Below are 15,925 nucleotides of genomic sequence, written 5' to 3' on the forward strand. Positions count from 1 at the left end.
TATGAAACAAACCTGCACATGTACCCCTGAAATTAAAAGTTAAGAAAATAAAAATTTAGATTAAAAAATTACAATTTGAAGAACAAGGCCACAATCAATGTTCATTCAACCAGACTACACACCTGGCACTGCACTAATCTGTGATTTCAAAATTAATTTACGAATTTGACAAATGTTCAAAAATATAAGAACTACCTCTTTGGGGGCCTTACTGTGTGCTAAACTTTCTAAACATGTTATATTCATTATTTTCATTCCTCTGGTGTAGGTATGACTACTTCCTCAAAGGCATACAAAAGTAATAATTTGCTCAAAATTATTCCATGGCAAAAAGATTAAAAACCAAGAATTCTAACTCTAGAGTTGATGCTTTTATCCACTATCTTTTAACTATCTCTCAAATAAAGGTTTTAGGGAATTAAACAATTTGTTGATCTGGGAAGAATTGCTGGACATTTAAAAATAATGTCAGATGACTGCTCAACATACAGAATGTGTGTGTGTGTGTGTGTGGGTGTGTGTGTGTTTGATGTTAGCAATCATGCAATTGCTACCAGGGCTATTTATAATAGCAAAGATATGGAATCAAGCTAAGTGTCCATCCACAGGTGAATGAATCAAGAAAATGGGGGATATATACACAATGAAATACTGCTCAGCTATAAAAAATCCTGTCTACGTAGATAAACCTGGAGGACATTATGTTAATTGAAATAAGCCTGGCACAGAAATACAAGTACTGTATATTCTCCTGCATATATGGAATCTAAACAAATTAATCTCATAGAAGTATTATAAAAGAATGGTTGTTACCAGAGCCTGGGGTTTCTAACAGGTAAGGGATGTTGTGAAGATGTGGGCAAAAGGATATATAATTATAGTTAAATAAGTTCAAGAGACCTATTGTACAACATGGTGACTATAGTTAATGATGATATATTGTATTCTTGAAAAATGTTAAGACATCCATCCATTAAGTGGATGTTAAATGTTCTCACAAGAAAAACGATGTCTATGTGGGGTAAAGCATTTGTTAATAAGTTAAATTTAAGCATACAAAAATGTATACATGCTTCAAAACGTCATATGCTATATGATACAAACAATTTTATCTGTCAATTTAAAAACAAAATGATTGACAATGAAACATTCTATATAGCTGCATGCTTTTATTCAAGTAGTGATCAGATGTTGATTCTCAAATTATTTAGGGTGGATGGCTTCTATGATGAATGATTTGGTGTTTTGCTGGGTGTATATACCAGAAAATAAAACAAAAGAAATTAATTGGGGAGGGCTAGCAACAGAATTATTGGATTTCTGAGGAGTATTAAACAGAGTACATAGGAAAGGAAATGCTGGCAGGAGAAATGCAATTGTTTTGAAGAGAATTGTGGGTCCAGAGAATTGTGGGAGCACAAGAGGATAAGGAACTGAGTGAAACATAAAAGTAAAAGGAAAGGATATTAGAGTTTATGACTTAAAGATAGAGAATTATGCTAAAATTCAGACTGTAACCATGAATATGGAAGTTAGGTTCACTGAAATAAAAAAAAAACACAGGACAAGATTGTCAAATCAGTAATCATAGTGTTTTTATTTTAGGTTGTAAAATAATAGAGTTATGTTGAATTTAGTGACAACTTAAGCAATTTGTTTCACAGATGTAAAAGGCAATGTTTTGAACCTTCTATAAAATAACTTTATCTGATTTTGTAATGTTTACCTGGATGCTCTGTCTAGTGATAGTAGTAGCAAACAATTGTTATAAATAATTATAAGAAATAGTTTTTTTAATATAAAATGTTATAGATGTATATCAGATATTTTCTTAATTTTGTTTTGCAGAAGCCAAATACAGCTATTTTTTTTCCTGCCCCAAAGTGTGATGTTATTGTGGTTCACACAGTGGAGTGTAGCATGGTCGAAAAACCTGATCGAAGGCCAGGCGCAGTGGCTCACACCTGTAATCCTAGCACTGTGGGAGGCCAAGGCAGGTGAACCACCTTAGGTCAGAAGTTCAAGACCAGCATGGCCAACATGATGAAACCCCATCTCTACTGAAAATACAAAAATTAGCTGGGCGTGGTGGCAGGCACCTGTAATCCTAGCTACTTGGGAGGCCAAGGCAGGAGAATCTCTTGAACCTGAGAGGCAGAGGTTGCAGTAAGCCAAGACTGCGCCACTGCACTACAGCCTGGGCAACAAGAATGAAATTCCATCTCAAAAACAAACAAACAACAAAAAACCTGATCTAAAATTATCATTATATTTTTGACCTTAATCTCTTTCAATCTCAGTTTCCTTGTTATGTGAAGATGGAAGACACTATTGATTGCCTATTCAGTAGCAAACCTCGCCCTTTATACTTCTAGCTAGGAGAGTCATTTTCCTACAATAGAGGTCAAATATATGAAGACTCACTTTGTTCAGCTTCCTCTTATGTAAAGTTTGGCTATATGAGCAAATCATGACCAGTTACTCTTGAGTGAGCTTTTGCTAGGAGTGGCAATAGGAGTGTGTTTAGATGCTCCTCATGATAAAACAGACAAATTTTATAAAAAACCACTTTATTTCCTTTATGATTTAGAGGATGCCTTGCGTGGGTTTGATGGGTGTTTCTGCAGCTGTATTATGAACAAAGAGAGCTGTTATTGATACACTGTAGGTAGAAAGTTGAAAATAACCTAGAACCACCTACCTACAGACATACTGTAAGGGATAAATTGCACATATTATTGATTAATCCACTTTTAATGAGATATTTTATTCCTCTCAGCCAAGTGTCCGAACCAAAGAAATAATTTAAATGAAAAAGAAAACATCACCTGCACTGGTAGCACGTAGTTAATATTGCTTACTTTAAAATATTTTTAACCAATTTGATGTAATGCAAATTTAAGTACAAACTAAAAATGGAGCCTATGTACAATATAACTCATCATTTTATCATAGTCTACACTTGTATTAGTACTACCTATAATTAAATGGTTAAGTTGGCTTTTAGAACAGTCATAATATAACATTGAATGTTATTAGGCTTGTTTACCAGGTTAAGTTAAAAAATGAAGCTCTGTATTAGGGCTAAAAAGGAAGATGAAGTGTATGAGTGGTAATAGTAATACAACTTTAGAAGAGAAGAGCGCACTGTCAATCAAACAGTAAGAGTTTGATTAAAAAAAATAAGAATATACCTAAATATCTATGCCCTTTGGCTAAGATCAAGTGTAGTATCTGTTCTTATCAGTTAAAAATACTAAAAAAGTATTTTTCTTCATTTTTAAATAAGAACATAACCTTACCTGCCTTCAAAAACGGCTATTTTCATATAATGTTAATTTAAAAATAATAAAAGAAAAAGGTATCATGTATCAGGCAAATTGCATTAATTGCATTGATTGCAAATTGTATTAATTGCATTGAAGATTAAATCCTATTCTTTCTTTTTAACATCTCATCCTACATTTTAAATACAAACTTAAAACGCAATTAGTAGTGACACTTTTTCTCCATAGCTTTGAAGTGGAAAATTAGAAAATGCCTAGAGGATGTTTGCTACATAACCTTTTTAATGCTCTGGCTTGAACTGTAGACCCTTATGCAAGCAGACTAAATGTACTATTTGGGGTACTCCAGCCTATTTCTAGGAAGATGATTATCTAATCATTTCAGAGAAAATGTCAGAGCATTTTCCCAGCAGATATCGGTAACAACACAGCACAGCTGCAAATGTAAATTTTTCCAGACATGACTTCAGCCCTGAGAGTCAGCTTTACTTCCTTCCTTAAAAGCTCTTTATAATCAAATAGTAAGTATGCATGTAAAGGTGATATATATGTTAATTAGCTGGAACAGATTATCACTTCACAATGTAGAGGTATCTTAACAACATTAAGTGGTACACCTTAAATATATACAATGTTTATATTTCAATGATATTTCAATAAAACTGTCTTTAAAAAGAAAAAAAAATTAGCCATAAGAAAAATAAAAAATAAACAAGATTTACCTGCCCATAAAATTTTTGGAATAGTAAGTTCTCTATATTTATATAGATACCTTTGAGGACTTTATAAGCCAAAGAAAATCTTGAGTTCAAAAATGAAATTAGATATTTAAACTGGATGTTTGAAAGTCTCTAATTTCTTGCAGAGTAAGAAATGACACTTGCTATTTCTTTGTCTGCCAGGATCACGTACAAATAATAATTTCTTTAAATATGTGAATTAATTGTGTTTATAATAGAGAAAAACTTGTGGTCACTGAATTATTTTATTTTACAGTTAAATCTTTTAGTGTAACTGTGTGTTTGAGAATGAATACTACACATTTTTTATAAGACAAAGTTGACTAATCCTTAGTGTATTACTTAGAATATGTCTTTTTATATAGGCCTCCATGTCTTTCCTCTCCAGTCTGAGGCACTTCATGGTGCATTTAAGCTTTGCTTTTTACTTTTGTTAACATATGATTTTGAAAGCTACTGACAAACTGATAGATGTTACAAGTGAGTTAAGAGGGCAGTGAGTTACTAAGATTACACTTTCAAGCCATCAAATAGAGACCATGTATTCAACTATAAATTCCTCTCTGATTACCCATAAAAACATTGTTTACAGACATATTTTATATTTAGACAATGTTATTTGTTTAATTTTCTAGTTGATTTAAATCCTATCTTCTTTCATGTAACACATTATAGTAATTAACATAATTAGCATATAAAAGTCCATAATACATTTTAGTTGAATTGAATTAAGAAACTCATGATATAGGACCACGAAATGAGGAATTGATCCAAGAGGTGAACAGTTGTCTTCTAATCCTGGATCTGTTTCTAATGAACAGTATATTGTCTAGTTTGGGTTTACTTTTTAAATTATTATTACTATTATGTAACTGGATTTGCCTTTAAAATATTTTTATGAACATAAGTCACATCTTTTAAATTTGAGAGCTTATGTTGTCTAATATTTTATTAAATGTTACCTATATTTTATTTTTTCTAGTTGAACTAGTGGAACTCTTAAGTGAAGCATTTTAAGATATCTAACTTAATTTTTATTTTCATAATTGCCATTTATTTACAAGCAGCATTCTCAAAATTTTCTAGGTCTACCAAATTTATTTTTCAAATGTATCCACCCTAGATGATTGGGGTAATTATTTTCACTATTATGATTTTGTTTGTTTGTTTCCAAAACCTCTCCTTTGTTCTTCATCTAAATTTCCTATTTATGATTCAGGTTTGTGATGTCCTCACTTATCAGCAGGAGTTACTGTGGTTTCTGTTCAACTTCTAACTACTGCTATCCTTCCTAGCTACCCTTTAGTTATGGGTATGTTCACTGGGTTTTCCCCAGAGCACAAATTCCGTAATTAGCACCTGTTCTTTTATGAGTACATTTCATAACCTGCTCTTTCATCAATATATTTCATGACCATTTATTACCTTTCCATATCTAGTCAAGTTCTTTGCAGGTATTCTGTTAATTCAAGAAAAGTTTCAACTATATTTTTTATTATTGTTACTCTATCTGCAGAAACTCTGAAGAATTTCATGAATCAGATTTTCTTTATCATTCATTCAGTTATGAAATAAAGAAGTCTAGATCTCCTTCATCCTCCTGGATCTTGTAATGTTTTGAAAAGCATAAGGAATCTGGCTCTTCTTTAATCTCCAAACATATTTAAGATAGGTTATTTTTTGGCAGTACTCTGGTAATTATTTTTGTGTATGTTTAGTTTGGACTCTACTATTTCAAGATTGCTCTTGAGTAAGTCCTTTTTTTTTTTTTCATATGCTCACCAGATTTGTTCTTTGCTCTTTCTAAAGCTAACACCATCTCTTGAGCTATATTTTTTATGTTCCTTTGAAACATACTTTAGTGGCTTCTATTTGTTGTTAACATATTTGCATAGTTCCCATGCCAACCTGAATCTTCTTTCTGAGGCATTTTGAACATAGGCTTTCTTTACTGCATACACGCTTGCTTTATTAATATGTGGTTCTTTGCAATGTTAAAATCTTTTTCAAATTTTTATTCACCTTGGTCTCAACTGTGCATGCTTAACTTCTCACATAATAAGTACTTGTTGTGCATCTTACTCAGTGGTTTATAAAATGTATCACAATCTGGGTTATCAACACTTAGGACCATGAATACACTATGGTGATAGGAGTTAGAATTTGGTTAGATGTGCAGAGATGAAAAACGTAAACACACACTTATACTACTGGGATAATCTTAATTTTTCCCTGGTAATATTTAAATACATGCGGGACAATTAATTTTCTTATTAAACTTTTAATGACAAATTAGTATTCATCTTTATATGGCACCAAATATCAGAAAATGAAAACTTTCTATACTATTAATCCAACACTTGTGGCACATAAACCTAGTTTTAAAATATTTTGAAACATTCTCACACATTCGTTGCCAAAAGTGTTGATGAGAGTCCTAAAGGTAAGTAGAAACCCCTCTTTTTTGTTGTTGTTTGTTTGTTTTTTTCCCAGTATCAGTTATGACAAACCGATTTAAAATCATTTATTGCCTACCCCTCCGTAAGCCACATAGCACTTGTTATTATGGCTATCCTCATTCGGACTCCTTGAAACTTTACAGGTGCGGTCACCCTTATAATTGCTCATGGACTCACTTCATCTTTACTATTCTGCCTAGCAAATTCAAGCTAAGAAAGAATCTGTAGCCGAACCACATTACTTTCCCGAGGCCCTCGAACACTTCTCTTACTAATAGCCTCATGATGATTTTTAGCAAATCTTACTAACCTTGCCTTGCCCCCTACTATTAATCTAGTAGGGGAACTCTTTGTGACTATGGCCTCATTCTCCTGATCAAATATCAGTATTATGCTTATAGGACTTAATATGCTAATTACAGCCCTATACTGTATATGCTAATCACAACACAACAAGGGGCACTTGTATATTATATTAACAGTATCAAACCTTCCTTTACAAGAGAAAATACATTAACACTTATACATCTAGAGCCTATCTTCCTATTATTCTTAAACCCTAAAATTATTTTGGGGTTTGCATGCTGTAGCTATCATTTAACCAAAACGTTAGATTGTGGATCTAACAATAGAAGCCTGCAACTTCTTATCTATGGAGAAAGTATGTGAGAACTGCTAACTCATTCCTCCATGCCTAACAACATGGCTTTCTCAACTTTTAAAGGATGAGAGTCATCAGTTGGTCTTAGGAACGAACCAAAAGCATTGGTGCAACTCCAAATAAAAGTAACAAACATGTATTCTTCCACTGTTATAACAACCCTAATCCCCTTAATCTTACCAATTACTATTACCTTAACCAACCTCTGCAAAAAAAGGTTCATACCCAAATTACATAAAAACATCTATCACATGTGCCTTCATTATCCTCATCCCTACAACGTTTATATGCGCAGACCAAGAAGTCATTATAGCAAACTGACATTGAATGATGATCCAGATTCTCAAACTCTCACTAACCTTCAAACCAGGCTATTTTTCTGCAATATTTATCCCCGTAGCACTATTCATTACCTGATCTATTGTAAAATTCTCAATATGATATATAAACTCAGACCCTAACATTAATCCATTTTTCAAATATTTACTTATTTTCCTCATCATAATATTAATTCTGGTTCCCGCCAACAACCTCTTTCAACTCTTTATCGGATGAGAAGGTGTAGGAATTACGTCTTTCTTACTAATCGGCTGATGGTAAGGGTGAGCAGATGCTAATACAGCAGCCCTCCAAGTGGTTCTGTACAACTGCATCGGTGATATTGGCTTTATTTTAGCTATAGCATGGTTCCTCCTGTCCTCCAACACATGAGAATTTCAGCAAACATTTATTCTAGATCCTACCCCCAACTCTCTTCCATTAATTAACCTTCTCTTAGCAGCAACAGGAAAGTCAGCTCAATTCGGCCTCCATACCTGACTTCCATCCACCATAGAAGGTCCAACCCCAGTCTCAGCCCTACTCCACTCCAGCACTATCGTTATAGCAGGAGTTTTCCTGCTCATCTACTTCTACCCTTTAATAGAAAATAATTTATCAATCCAAACCTTTACATTATGTCTGAGGGCTGTTACTACCTTATTCACAGCAACCTGTGCTCTAACACAAAATGACATTAAAAAAAATCATAGCATTCTCCACCTCAAGCCAGCTAGCCCTTATAATAGTCACAATTGGCATTAATCAACCACATCTAGCCTTCCTTCACATTTGCACCCATGCCTTTTTTAAAGCTTTATTATTTATATGTTCAGGGCTCATCATCCATAGACTCAATGTTGAATAACACATCCGAAAAACAGGAGGGCTATTCAAGACTTTACCCCTCACTTCCTCCTCCCTTATTATCAGCAGTCTTGCACTTACAAGTATGCCTTTCTTCACAGGCTTTTACTCTAAAGACCTCATCATTGAAACTACAAACATGTCATACACCAATACCTGTGCCCTTTTTGTTACTCTTATTGCCACCTCCTTGACAGCTGTCTATAGTACCCATATTATTTTCTTCACTCTAACAGGACAACCTCGCTTCACAACTCTGATTACTATTAACGAAAATAACCCCTTCCTAATCAACTCAGTTAAGCACCTAATAATAGGCAGCATCTTTGCCAGATTCCTCATCATCAACAGTATCATTCCTGCTTCATTCCCCCAAACAAACATGCCACTCCACCTGAAACTCACAGCCCTAGGTGTGACCATTTTAGGCTTCTCGCTAGCGATGGAGCTTAATTTTATAACTAATGACCTTAAACTAAAATACCCATTACAGACATTCAACTTTTCCAATATACTAGGAATTTATTCAGCCACAATTCACCATACAACCTCCCACTCAGACCTATTCATAAGCCAAAATCTGGCCTCACTTCTACTAAACCTAATTTGACTAGAAGAGTCTATACCAAAGACCATTACACAAACCCAAATTTCAGGCTCCATTACCGTATTTACTAAAAAAGGACTAATTAAACTGTACTTTCTCTCCTTTTTTATTCCATCATTTATAACACTACTCCTAATTATCTAATCTATTACCCTGAGTAATTTCAATCACAACATAAATACTAACAAATAGTGATCAACCAGCAACTACCATTAATCAACACCCATAAGTGTACAAGGCAGCCACACCCACAGAATCTTCATGCAACAACCCCGCCTCCTCGCCCTCAAAAATCATCCAAAATTTCTCACTATTGAAATCAATCACAATCCCCACTCCATCTGCTCAGCTATTCACCAAACCAGCATCAACTCCATTAATAGTCCTAATGATAAAGCCCTTCAGATGTCAATACTTAACCCTCATGTTTCAGGATACTCTTCAGTCGCCATTGCCATAGTATAGTCAAAAACAACCACCATGCCACCCAAATAAATAAAAAAGGCTATCAACCCCACAAAAGCCCCAGCAAAATTCAACACAATACCACAACTCACAGCACCACTAATAATTAGCCCTAGACCTCCGTAAATAGGAGAAGGTCTCGAAGAGAAACCTACAAACCCTATAACCAAAAGGACACTTAATAAAAATATGGTATATGCCATTATTCCCACATGGACTGTAGCCATAATTAATGAATGAAAAATAATCATTGTATTTCAACTATAAGAATGCTAATGACCAATACTCACAAAACACACCCGCTAATAAAAATTATTAATTACTCATTCATTGATTTTCCCACACCATCTAACATTTCTACATGATGAAACTTTGTTTCACTTCTTGATGCCTACCTAACCCTCCAGATCATTACAGGACTATTTTTGGCCATGCACTACACATCAGACACCTCAACCGCCTTCTCTTCAGTCGCTCACATCTGCTGAGATGAAAACTACGGCTGAATGATCTGCTATTTTCATGCTAATGGCACTTCAATATTTTTCATCTGCCTCTTACTCCATGTTGGCTGGAGCTTATACTATATATCATTTACATTTCTAGAAACCTGTAATATCAGCATTATCCTCTTACTCACAACTATGGCAACAGCATTCATAGGCTACCTGCTCCCATGAGGCCAGATATCATTCTGAGGTGCCACAGTAATTACAAATCTACTATCGGCCATCCCATGTATCGGAACTGACTTTGTGCAATGAATCTGAGGTGCATTCTCAGTTGACAAAGCTACCCTTACACGATTTTTCACTTTCCATTTTCTCTTACTCTTCATCATTACAGCTCTAGCAGCTGTTCACCTTTCATGCCTTCGTGAAACAGGATCTAATAACCCTTCCGGGGTTTCATCCAACTCCAACAAAATTACCATCCACCCCTAGCATACAACCAAAGATATTTTAGGTTTAATTATTCTCCTCCTCCTTCTAATAACTCTAGTACTGTTTTCGCCTGACCTCCTGGGCGACCGAGATAACTATGCTTTAGCCAATCCTCTAAACACCTCACTCCACATTAAGCCAGAGTGGTACTTTTTGTTTGCCTACACAATCATATGCTCCATCCCTAATAAACTAGGAGACATACTGGCCCTTGTATGCTCCATTCTCATTCTAGCAGTTATTCCTGTACTTTACGTGTCTAAACAGCAAAGTGTAATATTCTGACCGTTGAGTCAACATCTATTCTGAATTTTAGTGGCTGACCTATTTACACTCACATGAGTTGGAGGGCAGCCAGTCAAATACCCTTTTATTGCCATCAGGTAGACAGCATCTATTATGTACTTTTCTACCATCCTCACTCTTATACCACTCACTGGCCTAATTGAAAATAAACTACTTAAATGAAGATGCCCTTGTAGTATAATTCAATACTCTGGTCTTGTAAACCAGAAATGGAGGATCTCCTCCCCAGGACAGCTCAGGGAAAAAGTATCCCACTTCACCGTCAACACCCAAAGCTGAAATTCTAATTATTCCCTAAATTCTTTCTCAGCATATAATTTGACTACCATGTCAGTATTAATCAACTAGCACTATTATAATAGTGCTTTTATGTACTTCGTGCATTACTGCTAGTCCCCATGACTAATATATAGTACTATAATTGCTTGTTCATACATAGTACATCCATACACAACAATACATTAAAAACCTAGCCCATATGCATATAAGCACATATTAGTGATTTCTTAATCAACTATCACACATCATCATTATTGGTTGTACAATAAGACCTGCCCCACATGAATATTGACCAGTACTATAAATCCTTACTCTTACATAGTACATATGTTCATTCATCTGGTATAGCACATTTCAGTTAAGACATCCCTCCTCATTACGGATATCCTCTACAATTTTTGGTCTCTTAAGCTACAAACCTCCAAGAAGTCATCACCCCACTTGGGAGTGCTACCCTCCTCGCTCCGGGCCCATGAAACTTGGGGGTGACTATGCTGAAACTATACCTGGCATCTGGTTCTTACTTCAGGGCCATAAAATTAACACCACCTACACGTTCCCCGTAAACAAGACATCTCGAGGGACTGATGCCTACCACCCCGTTAACCAGTCATGGGAGCACTGTCATGCATTTGTTATTTTTTAACTTTGGGGGAGCTGTGACTCAGCATGGGGGAAGCCTGATGCCTGCCAAATCCATTGTAACTGAACTTACATTGAATATTCCGGACTCACATAACAACCATAAGGTTTTAATTAATTCATGCTTGAAGGACATAACAATTAATCAACAAGAACTCACACACGCACATACACTCATGCCTGTACGTACACTCATGCACGCACGTACACTCAGGCACGCACGTACACTCAGGCACGCATGCTCAATTTCAAGAACTATTTCTGATTAAATCTACAAGCCTCCCCCCAACCTGATCTCTGACTTTATCATCAACCTAGGTAAATACACCCTTGCCAAACCCCAAAAACAAGAGACTAAAATGCAACCCAGTCAGAGCCCAGATATCATATTTTAGCCACGAACACCCCAACATCTACCCCTCACTTCATGTAATTTTCTGAAAAAAACTTAAGGCCCTTCTACCAAATAAATCCTCCATTAGCTATAATAACTGTATTAACTAAACTTTTGCCCGAATACTAATATAATAGCTTGAGCATAACCCTCTGAAGGTGCTGCCCCAATATACCATACCTCTAAGTCAACCATACTCTAATTATGAATAACCCTCTCAGCCAAACCTCTGCTAATTCAACTTTAAAGATCTTGAATTTCCAGAACTGTAAACAATTTTCTTTCTTCCTTTCTCTCTTTCTTTCTTTCTCTTTCTTTTTTCTTTCTTTCTTTTTTTCTCTTTCTCTCTCTCTCTCTCCCTTCCTTCCTCCCTTCCTCCCTCTCTCCCTCTCTCTCTCTCTTTCTTCTTTTTTCTTTCTCATATTTTAATTTTCCACTTAAGTATTCTATGCAGTTAATTTAGCTTAACCATTCAAAGCAAGACACTGAAAATGTCTAGATGGGTCCACACAACCCCATAAACAGATAGGCTTGGTCCTGGCCTTTTTATTACCTCTTATTAAGATTACACATGGAAGCATCCCCACCTCAGTGATATCAATATGATGCAGCAACCATAGATCAAGGAGCCTTAATGTCAGTATGTGATGCTTTAATCCTGAAAAGCTGTCCCTATGTTTAATCTTATAGCAAATTTTGTTGAAAATTTAAGATAACCTAATCATTTGTTACTTTGAATCATTATCTATTCAACTGAATCCTTAAATAGAGACTATATGAGTACCTAGCTAGAGTATCATCTTCAATATCTGCTGCATACTAGAGAACACAGCTTAAGACACATATTGAAATGGGGCATTCTACTATTCTGTCCATTCTTCCCAAATTACTAGACTAGTATTAGAGCCTGCCTGTGCAAAGAGACCCCAACTGCTATATGAAACATTACATACTATTTCATAATCCCATCTGCAATCAAAGAGTTGAGGAAAATAATAGATAATCAAATAACACCTAAAAGGTAAATACAAAGCAAGGAATCACTCATTGTTCCTGAAGAAAATTGTAAATTTTTGGACTGAAAAATTGAGATCTTTGGCAACATAAATTGTAAATTGTCTGTTTAAGCTACTACTAGCTCTCAAAATTCTTTTGCTGTTATTTTGAGAAAGCAATGTTTCTTTTTTCTCCATATAAAGATTTAAGTATCAAATTATAGAAATATGTTTTTTACTTAGTGATATGTTTATGTGTTTTTTTGTTTTGTTTTGTTTTTGTTTGTTTATTTTGTTTTGAGATGGAGTCTCGCTCTGTCACCCAGGCTGAAGTGCTGTGGCACGATCTCGGCTCACTGCAACCTCTGCCTCCCGGGTTCACGCCCTTCTCCTGCCTCAGCCTGCCAAGTAGCTGGGACTACAGGCGCCCGCCACCACACCCAGGTAATTTTTTTGTTTTGTTTTGTATTTTTAGTAGAGACAGAGTTTCACCGTGTTAGCCAAGTTGGTCTCGATCTCCTGACCTCGTGATCTGCCCGCCTGGGCCTCCCAAAGTGCTGGGATTACAGGCGTGAGCCACTGTGCCCAGGCTTATGTGTTTTTTAACTATTATTTTTGAAGTATACTTAGAAGATGAGAAGATACAGAAAGAAATGATGGAAGATCGTACTAACATAGTCTCCATTTTCTAACCATAGAAGAGATTATAAAGGGCAATGGGCAGAGTTTTGATAGCCTAAAGAGCAATTATATTATTTTATTTATTATGTGGTGTTACATAACATAGAATTAAAGTGGGCTGTTGTGTTCTGAAGTTGTTGTCAGGAGTTATTGGGCATAAACACATTCCTTAAAGTGGTGTTGTGATTTTCACTGAAGGAATTTTTATCTTAGATCATAGTTACCATCATTGTGGAAAGGTTGATGAACAGTCCAAAAATAATGACAGATGAAGTAGGGCTTAAATTAAAAGGAAAAAGCTACTTGCAGTGGCTTATGTCTGTAATCCGAGGACTCTGGGAGGCCCAGGCAGGAGGATTGCTTGAGGCCCAGTGTTCAAGACCAGCCTGGGCAATGAAGTAAGTACCTGTCTCTACAAAAAGTTAAAGAAAAAGATTAAAGAAAAAGAAAATTAGGTGTGGTGGCAAACATCCGTAGTCCCAGCTACTAAGAAGGCTGAGGCAAGAGGATCACTTGAGCCCAGGATTTTGAGGTTACAGTGAATTGTGACTGTACCATTGCGCTCCAGTCTGGGTGACCTAGTGAGATCTGTCTTAAAAAAAAATGATAATAACATAAAAGAAAGGTAAAACTTTTCTCCAAAGTCTCACTTCCCATATGGAATCCAAGGTATGTGAAGGTACTGATACATTATTTTTCAATAGGAGAGGGCACCTCTGCAACATAGGGGACATTATTAGAATAAAGAGACCAAAATTAAGTTAAAACTGACCTTTTGAGAAGTGAAATAGCCACATATTTATTTGTTGTATTTCCATGCTTGCTATAGAAAGTATCAATTTGTTCTTTGGAGTCACTGCAGTGATTGAAGGGAAAGATATGTGACTGTGTTTGGAAAAACGAAGTAAATTAAAAAAAAAATCAGAAATCATTAGGATTTTGTCAGATGTTTAAACTCCCCAAGGAGTATCTATATAATAATCCCAAAAATTGCAGGAGAAGGAGAAAAAAAAAACTCAACGCCTTGTATACAGCAGCAAAGAGTTCAGTGGCCATTGAAATTCAGTTTATTTATGGCAATGTACTTTTTCAGCTTGATGAAATGGGGTCTTATATCATATAAAATTTTGAGAGGACTAAATAATGTCATATAATCTATTTTTTATAAAAAGTAAATTTAATCACAAATGAAAATATGTTTGCAGCCCAAAATCTTGCAATAAAAAGATCTGTAAAAAGATTAAAATTAACCAGAAATTTTATAGGAAGGGGTTAGCAAATTTGTTTTTCACCAGTCTACATCTACAAAATGAGAAAAGGTGCCTTAGATTTAGAATAAACCTTCATTTTTGCTGATAAATGCCATTGTCCAGAGAATAATTCTGTGTTTGCCTCTTTGACTGTAATAGGTCCTACAGTTTCTTTTTCATTTTGTGTGTAACTACCCTTATCCATCCACATTCCCTGTGAAGCTTGGCTTCTGGATGCCTACCACTGGGACAGGCTCTTCTGGTCATCTGATAGGTTTTTAGTCCCTTCTAATACTTCTGCTTTCCTCACTTTTTTCCTTGGCAATCCTTAATGCTTGTGACATTTCAATTGATTGATGTCAGTTAGAAAAATAGAAGCAGGGCAGAACCCTTCTTCTGAAGATAACTCAGTCGTTCATTTTAGTTTAATATTTATACCCTGCTCTCTCTCTCTCTCTCTCATACACACACACACGTAAGCTTTCTGCTTATACATCATTTACAGTGAACTTCCCAGGCAGTAAAATATGCCTGATCATTTGACAAGTTCTTAAAACCATTCCATTGGGATTATCTACCAGGCCATTTTGAGCACTCATTTAGAAAACAGGTGTGGAGAAACTCATTTGTAATAAATTCCAATTATTGTAGAGTAGTCTATAGTCCAAATATTCTTGAACTCTGAAATGCTCGGCATCATTAAATTTACCTCTTTTAGCAGCTAAACATCAGTGGAGTTATCTGCTGAGTCATTAAAATGAAGTATTCTTTTTTAAAGAGATGAGATGTTGATGTGTTTTCAAAGTTTCCTGTAATGAAAGCTGATTTTTAAACTTTGTGTCTAATTTATTTCTGCTGTTATATATGAGCTCCAGACCCCTCTATGGACTTTAGAGTTTGCTCAGTAACACACTTCAGAATTTACTACCAACTTGATAGCATTTTTAATTTAGTGAAGCAAAATGGTAATGTAATAGTGTGCCTAAAGAAAAAACAGTGTCATTATTTTGCGGGTGTTAAATTCCTCTAA

The 15,925-nt window shown here is 35.4% G+C and overlaps 5 pseudogenes; 4 read left to right on the top strand and 1 right to left on the bottom strand.

Moving 5' to 3' along the window:
• The first annotated feature begins 3,198 nt into the window (after positions 1 to 3,198).
• Positions 3,199 to 3,302, top strand: LOC124906192 (uncharacterized; annotated as a pseudogene).
• MTND4P25 (MT-ND4 pseudogene 25) lies at positions 6,515 to 7,068 on the top strand (annotated as a pseudogene).
• MTND5P27 (MT-ND5 pseudogene 27) lies at positions 7,300 to 9,077 on the top strand (annotated as a pseudogene).
• Positions 9,087 to 9,610, bottom strand: MTND6P7 (MT-ND6 pseudogene 7; annotated as a pseudogene).
• On the top strand, positions 9,680 to 10,813 carry MTCYBP7 (MT-CYB pseudogene 7; annotated as a pseudogene).

Source organism: Homo sapiens, chromosome 2, assembly GCF_000001405.40.
Source record: "Homo sapiens chromosome 2, GRCh38.p14 Primary Assembly".
NCBI classification, from domain to species: domain Eukaryota; kingdom Metazoa; phylum Chordata; class Mammalia; order Primates; family Hominidae; genus Homo; species Homo sapiens.